The sequence below is a fragment of the Homo sapiens genome, chromosome 15 (assembly GCF_000001405.40).
Source record: "Homo sapiens chromosome 15, GRCh38.p14 Primary Assembly".
Classification (NCBI taxonomy): Eukaryota; Metazoa; Chordata; class Mammalia; order Primates; family Hominidae; genus Homo; species Homo sapiens.
Window position 1 is genome coordinate 29,673,774 of NC_000015.10, and position 15,600 is coordinate 29,689,373.

General features: G+C 52.4%; 1 protein-coding gene and 2 long non-coding RNA genes across 7 annotated transcripts in view, besides 3 other annotated features; 1 reads left to right on the forward strand and 2 right to left on the reverse strand.

Moving 5' to 3' along the window:
• ENTREP2 (endosomal transmembrane epsin interactor 2) overlaps positions 1–1,636 on the reverse strand; it is a 557,698-nt gene extending 556,062 nt beyond the window's left edge. For all 3 annotated transcript variants that reach the window (NM_001387217.1, NM_001387215.1, NM_001387216.1), the window contains exon 1: positions 1,326–1,636. The gene's annotated coding sequence lies outside the window, so the exon portion shown is untranslated. The remainder of the gene's footprint in view (positions 1–1,325) is intronic.
• Positions 1,162–5,390, forward strand: LCIIAR (lung cancer immune cell infiltration associated lncRNA). The gene is made up of 2 exons (NR_135221.1): positions 1,162–1,753; positions 3,403–5,390. It is a non-coding gene; the product is annotated as a lung cancer immune cell infiltration associated lncRNA (long non-coding RNA).
• Positions 1,575–2,105: an enhancer, noted in NCBI's record as "H3K4me1 hESC enhancer chr15:29967552-29968082 (GRCh37/hg19 assembly coordinates)". NCBI's record gives its function as "activates a minimal SCP1, AML or CMV promoter by ChIP-STARR-seq in primed H9 embryonic stem cells {active_cell/tissue: H9 hESC(primed)}" and the evidence as "EXISTENCE:reporter gene assay evidence [ECO:0000049][PMID:30033119]".
• Positions 2,106–2,636: an enhancer, noted in NCBI's record as "H3K4me1 hESC enhancer chr15:29968083-29968613 (GRCh37/hg19 assembly coordinates)". NCBI's record gives its function as "activates a minimal SCP1, AML or CMV promoter by ChIP-STARR-seq in primed H9 embryonic stem cells {active_cell/tissue: H9 hESC(primed)}" and the evidence as "EXISTENCE:reporter gene assay evidence [ECO:0000049][PMID:30033119]".
• Positions 4,316–4,816: an enhancer, noted in NCBI's record as "H3K4me1 hESC enhancer chr15:29970293-29970793 (GRCh37/hg19 assembly coordinates)". NCBI's record gives its function as "activates a minimal SCP1, AML or CMV promoter by ChIP-STARR-seq in naive H9 embryonic stem cells {active_cell/tissue: H9 hESC(naive)}" and the evidence as "EXISTENCE:reporter gene assay evidence [ECO:0000049][PMID:30033119]".
• Positions 5,391–7,588: 2,198 nt separating the features above from the next.
• Positions 7,589–13,716, reverse strand: LOC105370743 (uncharacterized). Of its 3 annotated transcripts, XR_932031.3 has the most exons (4): positions 13,128–13,716; positions 12,304–12,400; positions 11,692–12,158; positions 7,589–11,427 (listed from the first exon to the last, which is right to left on the reverse strand). It is a non-coding gene; the product is annotated as an uncharacterized LOC105370743 (long non-coding RNA). The 3 variants fall into 3 exon arrangements; XR_932029.3 differs by having other exon boundaries at positions 12,304–13,716; XR_932032.2 differs by lacking the exon at positions 12,304–12,400 and having other exon boundaries at positions 11,203–11,427; positions 11,692–11,844; positions 13,128–13,180.
• Between the last annotated feature and the right edge of the window lie 1,884 nt (positions 13,717–15,600).

The window sequence follows — 15,600 nt, forward strand, 5'->3', positions numbered from 1 at the left end:
CCCAAAGTTAGTTCATGCCCAGGAATGACAAGGACAGCTTGGGGGTTGGAAGCAAGATGGAGTCAGTTAGGTGAGATCTCTTTCACTGTCATAGTTGTCTGTTATAATTTTGCAAAGGCAGATCTACCATTTCTCTGAAGGTTGAGTTTGGGATGTGGTAGCCTTTGAGTACCCGTCCTGTTGCTGTGTGTGTGTTCAGGGCAATCCAGGAAATCTGGAGAAACCAGAGTGTGTGGTCCCCCTTCCCCATTTCTCTAGTGGATCAGGTAGGAGGGTGACTGAGGAAATGTGTCCTGGGATACTTCCTGCCTCCCAGGGTGTGTGGGACTCAGCCCTTCCCCAGCCTGCAGAGGATGGGGGGGGGGGGGGGCTTTGCCAGCAGTCAAGTCCTGTGCCCCAGGGGACCAGGAAGCCTGTATCAACTCCTCGCTACCCCAGCCAGAAGCAGCAAACGCTCCACCCTGTCCTGCTGCCTGATGGGCAGAGTTGTTTTTTTTGTTTTTGTTTTTGTTTTCAGACACAGTCTCATTCTGTCGCCCAGGCTGGAGTGCAGTGGCGCAATCTCAGCTCACTGCAACATCTGCCTTCCAGGCTCAAGCGATTCTCCTGCCTCAGCCTCCCGAGTAGCTGGGACTACAGGTGCCCGCCACCATGCCCAGCTAATTTTTGTATTTTTAGTTGAGACGGGGTTTCACCATGTTGGCCAGGATGTTCTCGAACCCCTGACCTCGTGATCCGCCCGCCTCGGCCTCCCAAAGTGCCGGGATTACAGGCGTGAGCCACCGCGCCCGGCTTGAGCACAGACTTTTAATCAGATTTTTTCTTTCTTTAAATTCCTGTGAGACCAGCCGCCTGAGGGATTAAGAATATCGAGGGATGGAAGGGAGAGTAAAAGAACGGGCACTTTTCCCTAGGGAAAAGGAGGCATGCCGGGGGGGCGGAGGGAAGGAGGGGGTGTGGAGGAGGGAAGGAGGGAAAAGGGGGAGGGAGGAGAGGGAGGAGGGGGCGCGGAGGAAGGGGCGGGCTTCCCCCTGCCGGCCTCCCTTCCTTCCCCGCTGCCTCCGCCTCTCGCACTAGCGCCCCGCACCTGTGGCGCCCCTGCTCCGCCCAGTCCCGCGGCCTCCTCGCCCCTAGTCCCCGGCGCTCCCCGCCCCTTCCCGTGGGATCCGCCCCTCCGCCAGCCCCGCTGGCTTCCCCTCTCCGCCACCCCGGACTCAGAACCTCCCCTCCCCCGCCGGGGCCTGGGCGCGCCTGCCCTTCGCTCCCCGACCTCCTGCTGCAGCTCTGGGCCCCTCGGCCGCTCCCTCCCCTCCTCCCTTGCTCACCCCACGGTTGGCCGCGGATCTCCAGCACGCCGCCCCAGTCCTCGGCGTCCCGCAGCGCCTGCCAGGGTCGCCGAGCCTCCCCTGCCTCCTGGCCGCCTCTGCAGTGCCGTCCTCCCGGGGCTGGCTCTCTCCCCAGGCCCCCGCTTTGGCCACCCAGGCACTTTCCGCCCTGAGCGTGGCAGCTGCTGCCGGGGGTCCTGGGACCGCGGGATGGGAACTCCCACGCAGCGTCCCACAGGCTCCTGGCCGCCGCGAGCCCGCGCGACTCGCACGAGCATGTCCACCCGCAGCGAGGGGCCGGTCACTGCTACGGAGCCCGCCAGAAGGCAAAGCCCCAGACAGCAAATAGGGAGGCGGCTGGCACCCAGGGAGGCCGAGGCGGGAGGATCGCTGGAGCCCAGGAGTTCGAGACCTGCCTTGGCAACATAGTAAGACGCCCCCCCACCCCCCGCCCACCATCTCTACAATAAATTTAAGAATTAGCCTGGCATAGTGGCGCGCGCCTGTGGTCCCAGCACTTCGGGGAGGCTGAGGTGGGAAGATCACCTGCGCCCAGGACGGTCGAGGCTGCAGTAAGCCGAGATCGCGCCACTGCACTCCAGCCTGGGCGACAGAGCCCAGACCCCGTAACAAAGCAAAAATGAAGGAGGCGGCGGTTTACTTCTGGAATAACTGCAGAAGATCATCAAGTGCAGGGAGCTGTGGAACTCCCGGGCGCCCAGCCCTCGGCGCCCCTGCACCCTCAGCCGTAGAGCTGGGGTGTTCCGGCCCGGAGGGATAGGGGTTTGCAGGGTGCGTGAGCGCCGAGGCTGCCCGCGAGGCGAGAGAATTGCGGGGGGAGGCAGGGAGGCCGACGGGGAGGGCCTGGGAGGCTGCACGCGCAGCGGGGACCCGGCTTTGTCCCGAGCAGTTTCCAGGTAAGAGCTGAGAGGAGGGGAGGGAGGGAGAGGAGGAGAACCAGGCCCGGATTTTCCCGCCTGGGGTCAAACCAAAGCAAACAAACCAAAGTGGTGTGTCCAAAGTGATGCGCCTCACAGGTGCCTTGCTTCTGCCCCTGCCGGAGTTGAGGTTTGGAGGAAGGGCACTGTGCTGAGTCCCAGCGGGGGTTTTGTAAATGCTGCGGTATTGGTCTCTCACGGTTCACGGAGCAATCACCACACTTGCTTGACCTCCTGGAAAGCCTTACTCTCTTTTTATAATTAAAAACAATTTTTTTTGGCCGGGTGCGGTGGCTCATGCCTGTAATCCCAGCACTTTGGGAGGCCCAGGCCGGCGGATCACCTGAGGTCGGGAGTCGGAGACCAGCCTGACCGACGTGGAGAAACCCCATCTCTACTAAAAATACAAAATTAGCCGGGCGTGGTGGTGCATGCCTGTAATCCTAGCTACTCAGGAGGCTGAGGCAGAAGAATTGCTTGAACCCAGGAGGCGGAGGTTGCAAGTGAGCCAAGATTGCGCCATTGCACTCCAGCCTGGGCAACAAGAGCGAAACTCTTGTCTCAAAAAAAAAAAAGAAAAAATTTTTTTTTAGCGACAGGGGTCTCACTATGTAGGCCAGGCTAGTCTCAAACTCCTGGGCTCAAGTGTTCCTCCAGCCTTGGCCTCCCAAAATGTTGGGATTACAGACATGAGTCACCGAGCCCAGCCAGCCTTACTGTTCAGAATGATGTCACATCTTTGTGGACTGTTGAAAATAAGGTTGTCTTCCTCAGTCTCCTAGAAGCCCCAAAATAGCCATGCAGATGTCCAAGCAGTTCTGGTTTGATTATCAAGGAGCATGTGTAAAATAGCTACGTGTGAATGGGGTCTCTGCAAATGGAAACTGGCGGGGGAGGCTCAGGACTCTTAAGAGGTCTGCAGGAGAAAGTGCATAATGAACACACACCCATGGCCTCTCCCCATGTGCCAGGGCATCCTCCCACACAGGCCGAAAGTGCTCTGCAGAACAAAGTGCTTTTGGTCCACAAAACGCCTCCCAGCTCTTGCCTGCAAAGGGAAGAAAGGATAGCTGAGAATCATGAAGCAGAATGCCGGGAGATTTATGGAAACCCCCTCTGATAGCTCAATCTAATTGCAGCTCCCTCCAGCGTGCCAAATGCTGCTAATGGACAGCCGCTCCTGCCGCTCTGATGTTGCTAGACCTCCTCAGCACTCAGCCCAAGGCAGCCAGGAAGAATGAACGAATGGTGATTCAGAGGGAAAGGAGGAAGCTGCGTGGCATTTCAGAGATACTTATTTTAAAACTGCTGGTGGCCATGTCTTCTTTTCATATCAGAGCTAATGAGTTTTGATATGTGAACATTTCTTCTCCTTCATAGGTAATGTGTTGATTTGGCACTTTAATCTTAGAATAATCATTTCTAAAACCAACCCAACTGCTTTTCTTTACAATTTTGGCCTTAGCAAACAGATGAGTCCGTTGACTTGAGCATTGCTTGGGCACTGTCTGTGTGCAGGTCAGGCAGGGGATGCTGGTGGCTGGGAAACATAGAGGATGGAGGTGTCTTGGGTGTACATGAAGGGGTGGGGTCAAGTCCACAGGGGGTCGGCCCCTGGCAGCAGTCCTGGAGGGCTTCGTGGAGGAAGGGAGAATTGAGTGAGAAAGTGGTCCCCAGGTAAGAGGGAAGAGCATCCAGGGAGAGGAGACTGCTTCTGGGAAGACCAGAGGCATCACCTCGCAGGGGCTGGTATGGTGGTGGCTCAGGTGGGAGGAAGAGAGACCTCAGGGAAAATAACAGGTTCCATTGACAGGAGGCCTGCTCTGGTGGGGAGGCAGGCTGGTGGTGGAGTCATGGCTGCAGGCCAGGGAGATGCCTGACCAACAGGTGTGTTGGCCAGGGTCCCTGTAGCAAAAACACGGAGCTGAGGACCTCATGGCAGGGACCCCATGCAGAGGGAGCCGCGGGTGGCATGGGGATAGTCACCTGGCTCTCCTGCTCTCGGCCTCCTGCAGCTCCCCTCACTCCCTGCCCTGCCACACAAGGTCAAACCCACCAGGAGGCAGAAGGCGAAGGGCGAGGTCCCAGGGTGAGGAGCAGGGAGGAGATGGTGGCAGCAGGGAAGGTGATGCCTGCTGCAGAGTGAGACCTGGGACTGCCAAACACACAGTGACGGGAGCTGAGGAGGCCTGCCGGGGGAGGAAGACAGTGGCTGGCAGTGACAGGAAGGGAGGGTCAGCATGGGGCGGCAGTCCCAGAGCTCAGGGCTCCCTGCCAGGCCAGCCTTTGTGGCCTGTGGGGTGGAGGTGGCAATTGCTGTCATGTCATAAACACGTCAAGCTTACAATGAAATCTCCAGTGTGGCTTGGGAGCAAATACATGTGCAGGTGTTTGAGTATCTGTGCTCTTACCTAACCTCAGGGAGCAGGAAAACGAAAGCTTATCATGTAAACACATCAGCAGCAGGGCTTATGTGTGTCTCCACACTGGAACCCCCAAGACAAGAGACTGGAGGCAGAGTTGATTTCCAAGCCCAGAGTGCTGGGCAGCCTTTGGGTTTTATGTCTGCTTGCTTGGAGCTCAGTGATAGAAATCTAGGCCCCAGAAGAGGAAAGGACTGTCCTGCATAACCAGCACACCCGGGGAATGCTTCAGGTGCAGCTGGATCCAGGCATCCTCAAATAGTGTGATTAGGACTCCACTTTCCTTTGTCACCTTGGCTTGGCTCTTCCCTGCTCTGTGTTGTTTTCAGACGAGGTGGGGCCCCAGCAGCTCTGGTCCTCCTGACATCCTAGAGAAGAGCCAGCCCTTCCCTCCTGGGGTCTACACCGTCCCCTAAGGGACCTCAGACTGGGCTGATGGAAGGTCTCAAGCAGGCCATGTGAAGGGCACTGCACAGGAAACACAGAAACGGGAATCCTATAAGGTCAGCAGAGCTCTGAGCCCTTTGTTCTTGGGCCTGTTTTTATGATCCTCCCTCTACATGTAGCTCACACTTCCCTGCTTCTGTGCAGGCACCAGGTGAGGGGGTTGTCATGGCCTCCTGCCACTCTTGAGGCTGTCAGATATTACCTGTGCTGTCCCTGCATTCTCAAGCTCCAAATTGTCAACTAAGAAATGGTCACTTAAAAAGAGAAAAGTGAGGCCGGGCACGCTGGCTCATGCCTGTAATCCCAGCACTTTGGGAGGCCAAGGCAGGCGGATCACCTGAGGTCAGGAGTTGGAGACCAGCCTGGCCAACATGGTGAAACCGTGTCTCCACTAAAAATACAAAAATCATCCAGGAGTGGTGGCGGGCACGTGTAATCCCAACTTACTTGGGAGGCTGAGGCAGGAGAATTGCTTGAACCTAGGAGGCAGAGGTTGCAGTGAGTCAAGATCATACCACTGTACTCCAGCCATGGCGACAGAGCAAGACTCCGTCTCAAAAAAAAAAAAGGATTTCTGAAATGGACGAAGTTTTTTTCCACTGGCGGTGCCATCAGTGATCGTGTCTGTTCCACTGTGAAGTCGGTCGTGAGCTCTGTGACGTTTCCCTCTCAACTCAAGGCTTTTTTCTTCCGCTTATGGGTGTAGTCCAAATGGTTGGGATGAAAATCGTTTCACAGATAAAGAAATCTACAAGCCCAATCGTGGTGTAAGAAAAAAACTTTAAAACTCTGTCGTTCAGAAGGAAATCAGGAATAAGAATTTCTCCTTTGAGACTAAAAGAAAGTCAGCTTTAGCCAGTGCATTGGGGTGCTGGCTCGATGTGGTAAACAAAGCAAAACATTGTTTTTAAATATCCAAAACATTATTTTTAAATATAAAGAAATACATTTTTCTCCTCTCAACAATGAAGTCATAGTTTTTTTGGGGGGCGGGGGGTGGGTGGGTGGGTGCACAGGATTTACTGTTTTGTTTGTTTTTTTAACCCAAAGAGAAGGAAAATACTTTCCTTACTCCTGAAAATGGTGAGTTTGTACATTGTCCTTTTATATGGATCAATGTCATTTAAGCAACTACAGACAGATAAGTGAAGATGAATCTCATCCATCAGAGGCTGGGCTATCAGGCACCAGGACCAGGGGCTTTTCTTTTAATAAGGGAAACCTCTGCTATCTTTGGATTCCTCAAAGCCTGGAATCTAGAGCTGGATGACAGGCTTGCTTTGGAGAGAATTTCTTGAGACAACTTCAAAGTGGCAGGTTTTGTTGAAGAAAAAGCTCTTCATGGGGTAGTTGGGAACATGGTTAGTCCCTCTGTGGGGACCAGGAGGAGCGGAGAGGGGAAAGGGAGGGAGAGGGAGAGAACAAACTCTCTGCTGTCACTCTAAGAGCGCCAATCCCATCATGGGCCAGACCCTCATCGCCTTATGAAGCCTGATCACTTCCCAAAGGCCCCGCCTCCTGGTACTATCACTCAGCAGTCCCCAACCTTTTTTGGCACCAGGAACTGGTTTTGTGGAAGACAATTTTTCCATGGACTGGGTTGCAGGGATGGTTTCGGGATGATTCAAGCGCATTACATTTATTGTGCACTTTATTATTATTACACTCTAACGTATAATGAAATAATTATACAGCTCACCATAATGTAGAATCAGTGGGAGCCCTGAACTTGTTTTCCTGCAACTAGACGGTCCCATCTGGTGGTGATGGAAGACGATGACACCCGAAGTGTGTTGCTAATGTCCAGTCTGCTCTGTAATCTCGTTTTGGTCGATGATATTGCAGAAAACTCTGCTTCACAAACACAGGATATTGGAAATGGAAGTGGGCTTTTCAGTGCTTTGGGAACAATCACAGGAGATTCTGCCTTGGCTGTAATCCAGAACGTATGGAGATTTGAAGTTGTCGCAAACATACTTTGAAGGCCACCAGATGCAGCTGTACAATTGAAGTCCATCAGCTCACTTGCCTCAATAAAGCCTGCCACTGCATGCAGCTTGTCACTTGCCACTCACAGATAGGGTTTTGATATGACTCTGCAAGCAATTGATTTATGATGGTCTCTGTGCTGTCAAACCTCTCTGCTAATGTTCATCTGTATTTGCAGCCACTCCCAAGTGCTAGCATCGCCGCCTCAGCTCCACTTCAGGTCATCAGGCATTAGTTAGATTCTCATAAGGAGTGTGCAACCCAGATTCCTCACATGCGCAGTTCACAATAGAGTGCGCTGCTATGAGAACTAATGCCACTGCTGATCTGACAGGAGGCAGAGCTCAGGCGGTCATGCTCACCCACCCACCTGCTGCTCCCCTCCTGCTGTGCGGCCCAGTTACTAACAGTCCATGGACAGGTACTGGTCCGTGGCCCAGGGACTGGGGGCCCCTTCTGTCACCCAACCAAACTGGGTCCACTTGCCCTCAAGGAACGGAAGCCAAACACCGAAGCACCAAGTTTTTGCAATAGGAAGGCTTTATTGCCAGTTGAGTGACATGGAGACCGGAGGAAATGTTCCTATCTGTCTTCCCACTGGCCTTGCCACCATAGATGTAAGAGACAGATTTTGAGGGTGGGGTTTCGGGGCGGGACGAAGATTGGCTGGAAGGAAGGGGCTTTGTTGAGTCCCTCGGTCACTCACTGTCGCCCTACCTGCTGCTTCATGGGTTGCATGTTTAAAAACAATGTTGGCATTAGCATGACCTGGAAGTGGGGTTTTGGGCCCTCTGACATCAAAAGGTGGCTCGTGGGTGAGTCAGTGCACTCTGCAGACTCTAGTCAGCCATGTTGGCTCCAACTGGTCCCTCCTGGCAGCCCACTTAGTTGCAAATAGAGGGGATTGTAGCAAATTGTCGTCTTCTCCACTGTCCTGCAAAATGAGCTCAAGAAATTTTGCTGGTTAACAAATCCTGTCTAATCCTAGGGCAGGTTTCAGTACCATCCTGTTAGGGATTGGGGCTTCAACATATGAATTTGGGGGGTACACTTCAGCCCATGGCAAGCTGGATACTTGTGCTCCCTTCATCAAGATGAGAATGTGAACACACAGAGGCAAAGCGGCCCATACGAGGTCACAGTGAGAGAGGGTGCCGTGGAGTCAGAACGCACAGCAGGGACCCAGCCCCTAGGTTCCGTCTCTGAGCCCCAGGTCCCATGCTGAGCTGCAGGAGTCACTGTGTGCCTCTGCTTTGTGCTTTGTGACCACACGTCATGGCCAGGCTGGGGTTTTCCACCCTTTGTGCGTTATTCCCATCTTAGTTTGAGGTCAGAGGCCTGCAGGACTTATTTCCTGGTCCCCACGGGATGAAGGAGGAAACCCGTGGGAACTAGCACATGGCCCTAAAAGCAACCTCTCCTTGCCCTCATTGTCCATTAGCACAAGACACTCCCATCAGCACCATGACAGTTTACAAATGCTGTGGAAGTTGCTGCCTTTTCCTTAGAGATTTCCAAATAACCTGCCCCTAATGTGCATGTCATTAGAAGTCAGTATAAGTGGCTGTGAGTGCAGCTGCCTCAGCCCATATGCTGCTGACTCCGGGTGCACTGCTGAGGAGTCAGCCCTGGCCCAGTTCAGGAAAAGTGGCTGCATAATGCCACCAGCTGGCCCTTGCATTCTTTCCTGGGTGAAGCCAAGAACCCTCAGGGGCTAAGCCCCACTGTGAGAGCTCACCTGCCACCTGCATCCAGTGAATAGGGCGCCATTTCCAGGTTTCCCCCCAGTGCTGCAGCAAACATCCCTGTAGGCCGCAACTCACACGCTTGCTTGCATTTTTTTTTTTTTCTGTGAGATAAATCTTCAGCAGCAGGATTGCTGAGCTGGGTCTAAAGGCTTTCAAAGTTTTATTTTCAATTTTTTTTTTCTCAATTGTCTGTAAGAGGGCAGAACCACTTTACTCTCTTCCAGTGGCAGATGAGAATGTGCTTCTTAACACCTGCCCAGCCCCAGGGATTATCCCTCATTTTAGTCTTGGCCAATCTGAGACAATCCATGAAGGGAACTGATGACTCGCTGTCTTCCAGACATTTCTTCGGTGGTGGTGAAGTTGAGTATGTCTTTATGCTTATTGGCCATTGTTCTTCCAGGAACTGTCAGTTACTGAGCTCTGACCTTAGATTTGTCATCTTCTAAAAACTGATCTGCAAGAGCTCTTTGTATCTTAAGAGAACTACTTTTACTATTAATGCGTGACAAAATATTCTCCCCATTGACTTGATGTGCTATCCATAAGTATAGTCATGAACCACATAACCACATTTTGGTCAACAACAGATCGTATATAACAGTGGTCCCATAAAATTATAATATCACATTTTTACTGTACCTTTTCTATGTTTACATGCACAAATACTCATGGCTGTGTTACAGCTGCCTACTGTATCCAGCACAGTGCCATGCTGTACACGTATGTAGCCTAGGAGCTGCAGGCTACACCATATAGCCTAGGTGTGTCGGAGGCTGGACCATCTAGGCTTGTGTAAGTGCCCTCTGTGATGTTCTCATAACAATGAAATCATCTAACAACGCATTTCTTCGACTGTGTCCCTGTTGTTAAGTGAAACATGACTATTGCTTTTTGTTTAAAGTCAGTAAAGAGGCACAGTTTACACTTTACTTACCCATATATATGTATGGGTGTATATATGTATGTATTTTTTGCGACAGGGTCTTGCTCTGTCACCCAGGCTGGAGTACAGTGGCATGATCTTGGGTCACTCCAGCATCCACCTCCCTGGCTCAAGCGATCCTTCCACCTCAGCCTCCTGAGTGGATGGAACCACAGGCGTGCACTGCCGTGCCTACTTTTTAAAAAATTTTTTGTAGAGACAGGGTCTTGCCATGTTGCCCAGGCTGGTCTCCAACTTCTAGACTCAAGCAATCTGCTCACCTCAGCTTACCAATGTGCTGAGATTACAGGCATGAGCCACTGCACCTGGCCTATGTGTATTTATTTTTATTGTCATATTTATCTGTTTTTTTTTCATGACTTGTGATTTTGTGGCATGTTTAGAAAGGCTTTTCTTGTTTCAGGATTATAAAAATAGTCACCTATACTCTCCTCTAGCATTTTTATTATTTCACTTTTCAGATTTAAATTTTTGTTTCATCCAGAATTAATTTTGGTCAAAGAGTTCAATAGGGCTACAATTTATTTTTCCCTGAAGAGGCGGGACAGCTGTCCCAATATAATTCACTAAAGAGCCCATCTTTCCTCTGCCAATCTGCAATGCCAACTTTACTACAATGTCTGCAACTTAATCTCAAATGGTAGAGCAACAAACATATTTAGAGTGTGTGTGTGTTGAAATTAAATCAAATGTGGAGAAATGTTAGCATAGCAATTATTGAATCAAGATAGTACATTTGGCCTTCATTACCCACGGGTTCTGTATCTATCTGCCCATTCAACCAACTGCAGATTGAAAATACTCTGGAAAAAAATTTTTTAAATACAATAATAAAAAATAATGCAAATAAAAACCAATATAACAACTATTTCATAGCATTTACATGGTATTAGATATTACAAGAAAACTAGAAATGATTTAAAGTATATAGGATGGTGCGTGGAGGTTACATGCAAATACTGTACCATTTTATCAAGGATTTGAGTCTTTTCAGATTTTGTTATCTTTGGGGGTCCCGGAGCCAATCCCCTACAAATACTGCGGGACGATTGTATGTAGAAGATCATTACACCATCCAGTTTCCAGTTTTGTTTTCACAGTAAAATTGTGTTTAGGCCAGGCGCGGTGGCTGACGCCTGTAATCCCAGCACTCTGGGAGGCCGAATCACCTGAGGTCAGGAGTTCGACAACAGCCTGGCCAACATGGTGAAACTCCGTCTCTACTAAAAATACAAAAAAAAAAAAAAAATTAGCCGGATGTGGTGGCACATGCCTGTAGTCCCAGCTACTTGGGAGGCTGAGACAAGAGAATCACTTGAATCCGGGAGGCGGGGGGTTGGCAGTGAGCCAAGATCGCACTGTTGCACTCCAGCCTGGGCAACAGAGCGAGACTCTGTCTCTATTAAAAAAAAAAATGTGTTTAAAAGTCTAAAAGAAAAGGAGCGTTAGAATGGAGATAGAGTCTCCACTTTCAAAATGGATGGTTGAGCAAAAGTTCCTTTCCTGCAGAAAAGGCCTGGACGGGTGTGGCCAGGACGAGCTGAGACCCGATGAGAAAGGCAGAAGGGCGTCAGGCAGGGCTTGCACTGCAGGAAGCTGCTCTGGCTGTCCCTGAGTAGAGAAGAGAGTTGTGATGTGTGGACAACAACAAGACAACAAGAGCTGTTGGGGGCCTCCAGCTCCAGCTTGAATGACTGTTTCTATTGATGTGGAGCAGAAACCTGTGGGAGCCGCTGGCCCCTGTGGACAAGGGCGGTGAATGGGCCGGCGGGAGCGGGCAGCTGACTTATGGCGAGGTGGTGGGTCTGGGGTAGGCTGCGGCCTTAGGGTTGGTGGTGACCGTGTACCAAGGCACACGGCTGGCTTCCCTCTCACCTGCAATAGCTGGGCCACGGCTCACTGCCCTTCTTCCTCCTGTCACACCAGTCACACTGAGAGAGGGCCCTGCACGTGGTGACAGCATGGGCTGAACCGGTTCCATTTGCCCAAGCACCAGGGACACTCCTTTACCTCCTCAGGAAGGCTCAGCTGTAGAGGAACAGAAGGAAGATCCGAAGATAATAAGAAGGAGGAAAAGTTGGAAGAAGGGCAGGAGTGCAGAGTGGGCCCTCCAGGGAGGGAGGGGGCGAGCGAGCAGCCAGCCCTGCCCGAATCCCCCACCCACACCCTGGCCCCGTCCCAGCAGAACTGGTGACACTTTTCTTCCCAGTGCCTTTCAAATTTCCAGAGCAGCTCAGAATTGCTCAGTAGATAACAGGTTTGGGGTTTTTATCCTTTTCTTCCTAATGACCAGGCTCCTGAGAACAGGAGCAGCTGCCATCTGTAGGGTATTCATCATCCTCCTGCAACGGGGAAATGAGTCATTTTAGCATAAAATGTAGAACTGCCATGAAATTCAAATTGCAGTACTTTGACAAGAATTATAATGTTTGCAGAAAGTCTCATCTAGGAGGCTGAAGTGGTCCTGCGGGAAGCCCCCCCAGTCACCTGAGAGAAACAGCTGCAGTCGCCAGCAGGATCTGACCACCTCGCCCAGGGTGGACAGGACTGAGGCCACCTCTTAATTTTTCCACCCTTTTTGTTCCTGGACATTAAATAAGACAGAGAAAGCAGGAAGGTGGGGAGAGAGCACCCCTGCAAATAAGAGTCATCATCCAAGAGAGTATCAACCAAGTAGGCAGAATTCTTGCCAATTTAGTTGACTATGCATGGGAAGGGAAGTTTCTAGGGCCTTCTGGAAACAGAATATTTTCTTAAAGGGGCCACCAATGATACCCTTTGGTCATTCCAAAATGACCTCTCTGGGCCTGACGCCCCTGTGAGACGTGAAGCCAGCTGGACTTCCTGGGTCGAGTGGGGACTTGGAGAACTTTTCTGTCTTATAAGAGGATTGTAAGACTCACCAATCAGCACTCTGTAGCTAGGATTGTAAAACACACCAATCACCTCTCTGTAGCTAGCAAGAGGATTACAAAATGCACCAATCAGTGCTCTGTAAAATGCACCAATCAGCACTCTGTAAAATGCAGCAATCAGTGCTCTGTAAAATGCACCAATCAGCAGGATCCCAAAAGTAGCCAATCGCAGGGAGGATTGAAAAAAGGGCACTCTGATAGGACAGAAACAGAACATGGGAGGGGACAAATAAGGGAATAAAAGCTGGCCCGGTCTTCAGCACTTAGCCAGCCAGCAGCAGCAACCTGTAGGGTTCTTTTCTATACTTTGGAAGCTTATTTTTTTGCTCTTCACAATAAATCTTTCTACTGGTCCCTGTTTGGGTCTGTGCCACCTTTAAGAGCTGTAATACTCACCGGGAAGGTCCACGGCTTCATTTTTGGTCAGCGAAACGAAGAACCCAATGGCAGCAATCAACTCCAGACACATCTGGTCAGTCTTGTTCTAGATCCAGGGAAAGCAATGCCCTAACGGCAGGAGGGAATAACCCTTCCAGCTGATAGCAGTTGTTCAAATAGTAGCAAAGGCACATAGGAAGTGTGTTGCCAAGCTGCAGTCTGACAATTGCTCCAAACACGAATTTTGCTTCTAAGACCCTGTAAGCTGTGGGTTGTACTCAAAAGCTGTAAGTTCTTTGTGCAAAGGCTGGAGAAGGCAGCGAGCGGGCCACGTACCTGTCTTTTCGCAGAGTGTGAGAAACGAGACTGTTCTCTTTACGTGGCAGGACAGTTCAGAGTCTCTATACCCAGAGCAACCAGAACGAGCTCCCCTTGGAGTCATGGACCCAGTATCTCAGTTGAGCAAATGGTAATTTTCACCAAGGCTGGCTGGCATTGGGTGACTTTAGTGGCCTGTGCACACGAGCGCCCCAGGCCCTTGGGCAGCTGCCAGTGTGGGCTGGGGCTTCCTTGTCGGGAGGGAGCCACCCTGCACCTGTGGGTGAGTTTTGTCTCCTGGCAGCCTGGCAGGCAGGTGTGGCTCATGGCAGGGTGAGCCACTGGCACGGATCTGCTGCTTTCCCCAGGTGAGAGTTTCTATGTGCCCAAAGGTCACCAGAAACTGACAGCCAGCCCTGAGCAAACCCCAGCCCAGGGTTCATGTTGCCCGAGCAGAACCTGCTGGTGTGGTCTGCAGGCGGGGGCGTTTTTCTTGGTTGGCTAACACTCCTTGGAAGGAGGCATGGGCCAGGCCAGTGTGCTTAGCAGTACCCCAGAGCAGTGTTGGGGGCGGGAGCTCAAGTGTGGGGTCAGTGTGCTCGCACCAGAGCCAAACCCAACACTTCCTGTCTCTTCCTTTCCTGCTGTCAGGTGGGGCTGTTGTTGGGGAAAGAAAAGCAGGGAGGACAGCGTGGGAGGCTTTCTCAGGGCCAGCCCTGGGAATGGGGCACAGTGAGGGGGTGGCATGGGTCACCTGGCCCCACTAAGGGCCAGAGGCGAGGAGAGATGTCCGGCTGGGACTTCCTGGGAGGAAGGGGCGCGCTGCCACGCAGTGCCCGAGGCCCTTGGGTATCTGCGAGCATGGGCTGGGGCTTCCCTGTTGGGAGGGAGCCACGCTGCACCTATGGGTGAGTCCTGTCCCCTCGCAGCCTGGCAGGTAGGTGTGCCTTGGGAGGAAGGCACGCCCTGCCACGCGGTGTCGCTACTGGCTGGCAACTGTTGGAGAATTTATTGAAGCACGTGAAAGAGCCCCACCCTGCCATAGCAATCACCTGCCTTTGGTGAGGCTGAGCCTGGCCGCGGGACCCCATTGACCGCTCCTGGCCTCACACTAAATGGAGTTGCATTGCTCCTCCAAATTCCAACCAAGAGGACCGAGAAGTTGGCCTGAAGCAGGCGCACACGTGGAAAAGAGGAGCTGAAGCCACGCGGGGGCTGCTCCTGCAGAGGAGGTGGCTTGGTCTAACTTTTCAAAGCAATGGCCACTCGGCTGCATCAACCTGCATGCCACGTTCCTGGCTTTGATCATTGACATGTGCCTGGCTCTGCTGCTCTCAGCTCCTGGCCTCAAACTTCCTTTTGAAGAAAATCGCTGAAGCTTGTGGCCTCACTTCTTCCAAGAGGCAGCTACAGACACTCTCCGGGCCTGGCTGCCTGTTTGTTGGGACGGGGCCTCTGGCTTGGGTTTGCTGTGCTTCAACGCCATGTGACTCCGAAGGGCCTCACTCACGCCAGGGCCCAGCACCGGCTCGGGGACAGGCCAGGCTGGCATGACTCTGATTCTGCAGATAGCATTTTTAGTGACTCTGCTGGGAATTGGTTCCTGAGATAACAAAGCCACTGACACAGGGATGACAGATGGTTAACAGCACCTCCCGAGAGTAGGTCTGTTCTAAACACTTGACCTGTGACAGAGCATCCATGCCACGCGGCTGCTCCATGAAGTAGACGCCATCATCGTGGTCTCTGCAGGTCTACGATGGGGACACTGGGGAGAGAGGAGTGACTGTGCTGGAGCATGCGTGGATGAGGGGAGGGGGAAGGGAGGGCGTGAGCCCGGTGGTCCAGCACCGTATTGTCCTGCTCCACTTTCCTCCGAGGCTTGGGTGTGCACGCGCTGGAGCCCTCCCTCTCTGGGTTGGTCATGGCCCTGTCCTGTGAGAGGTGGTGTGTGGATACCTCCTGCTCCTGAGTGAGCCCGGCGCTCCGTAAGGAGTCAGGGAATGGATCCGCCATGCCAGCCCAGCCCTGTGCTGCCAGGAGCCTGTCTTTCTAGAAGGTGGGAGTGCGGGCACAGGCTGCCTGCCCAGCTGCAGAGTTCCCTCCTCAAGTGCACCCTGGAGTGGGGACGGAGGAGCCTAGGGCACTCATGGGCTCCAGGTTCCCTGGCTCC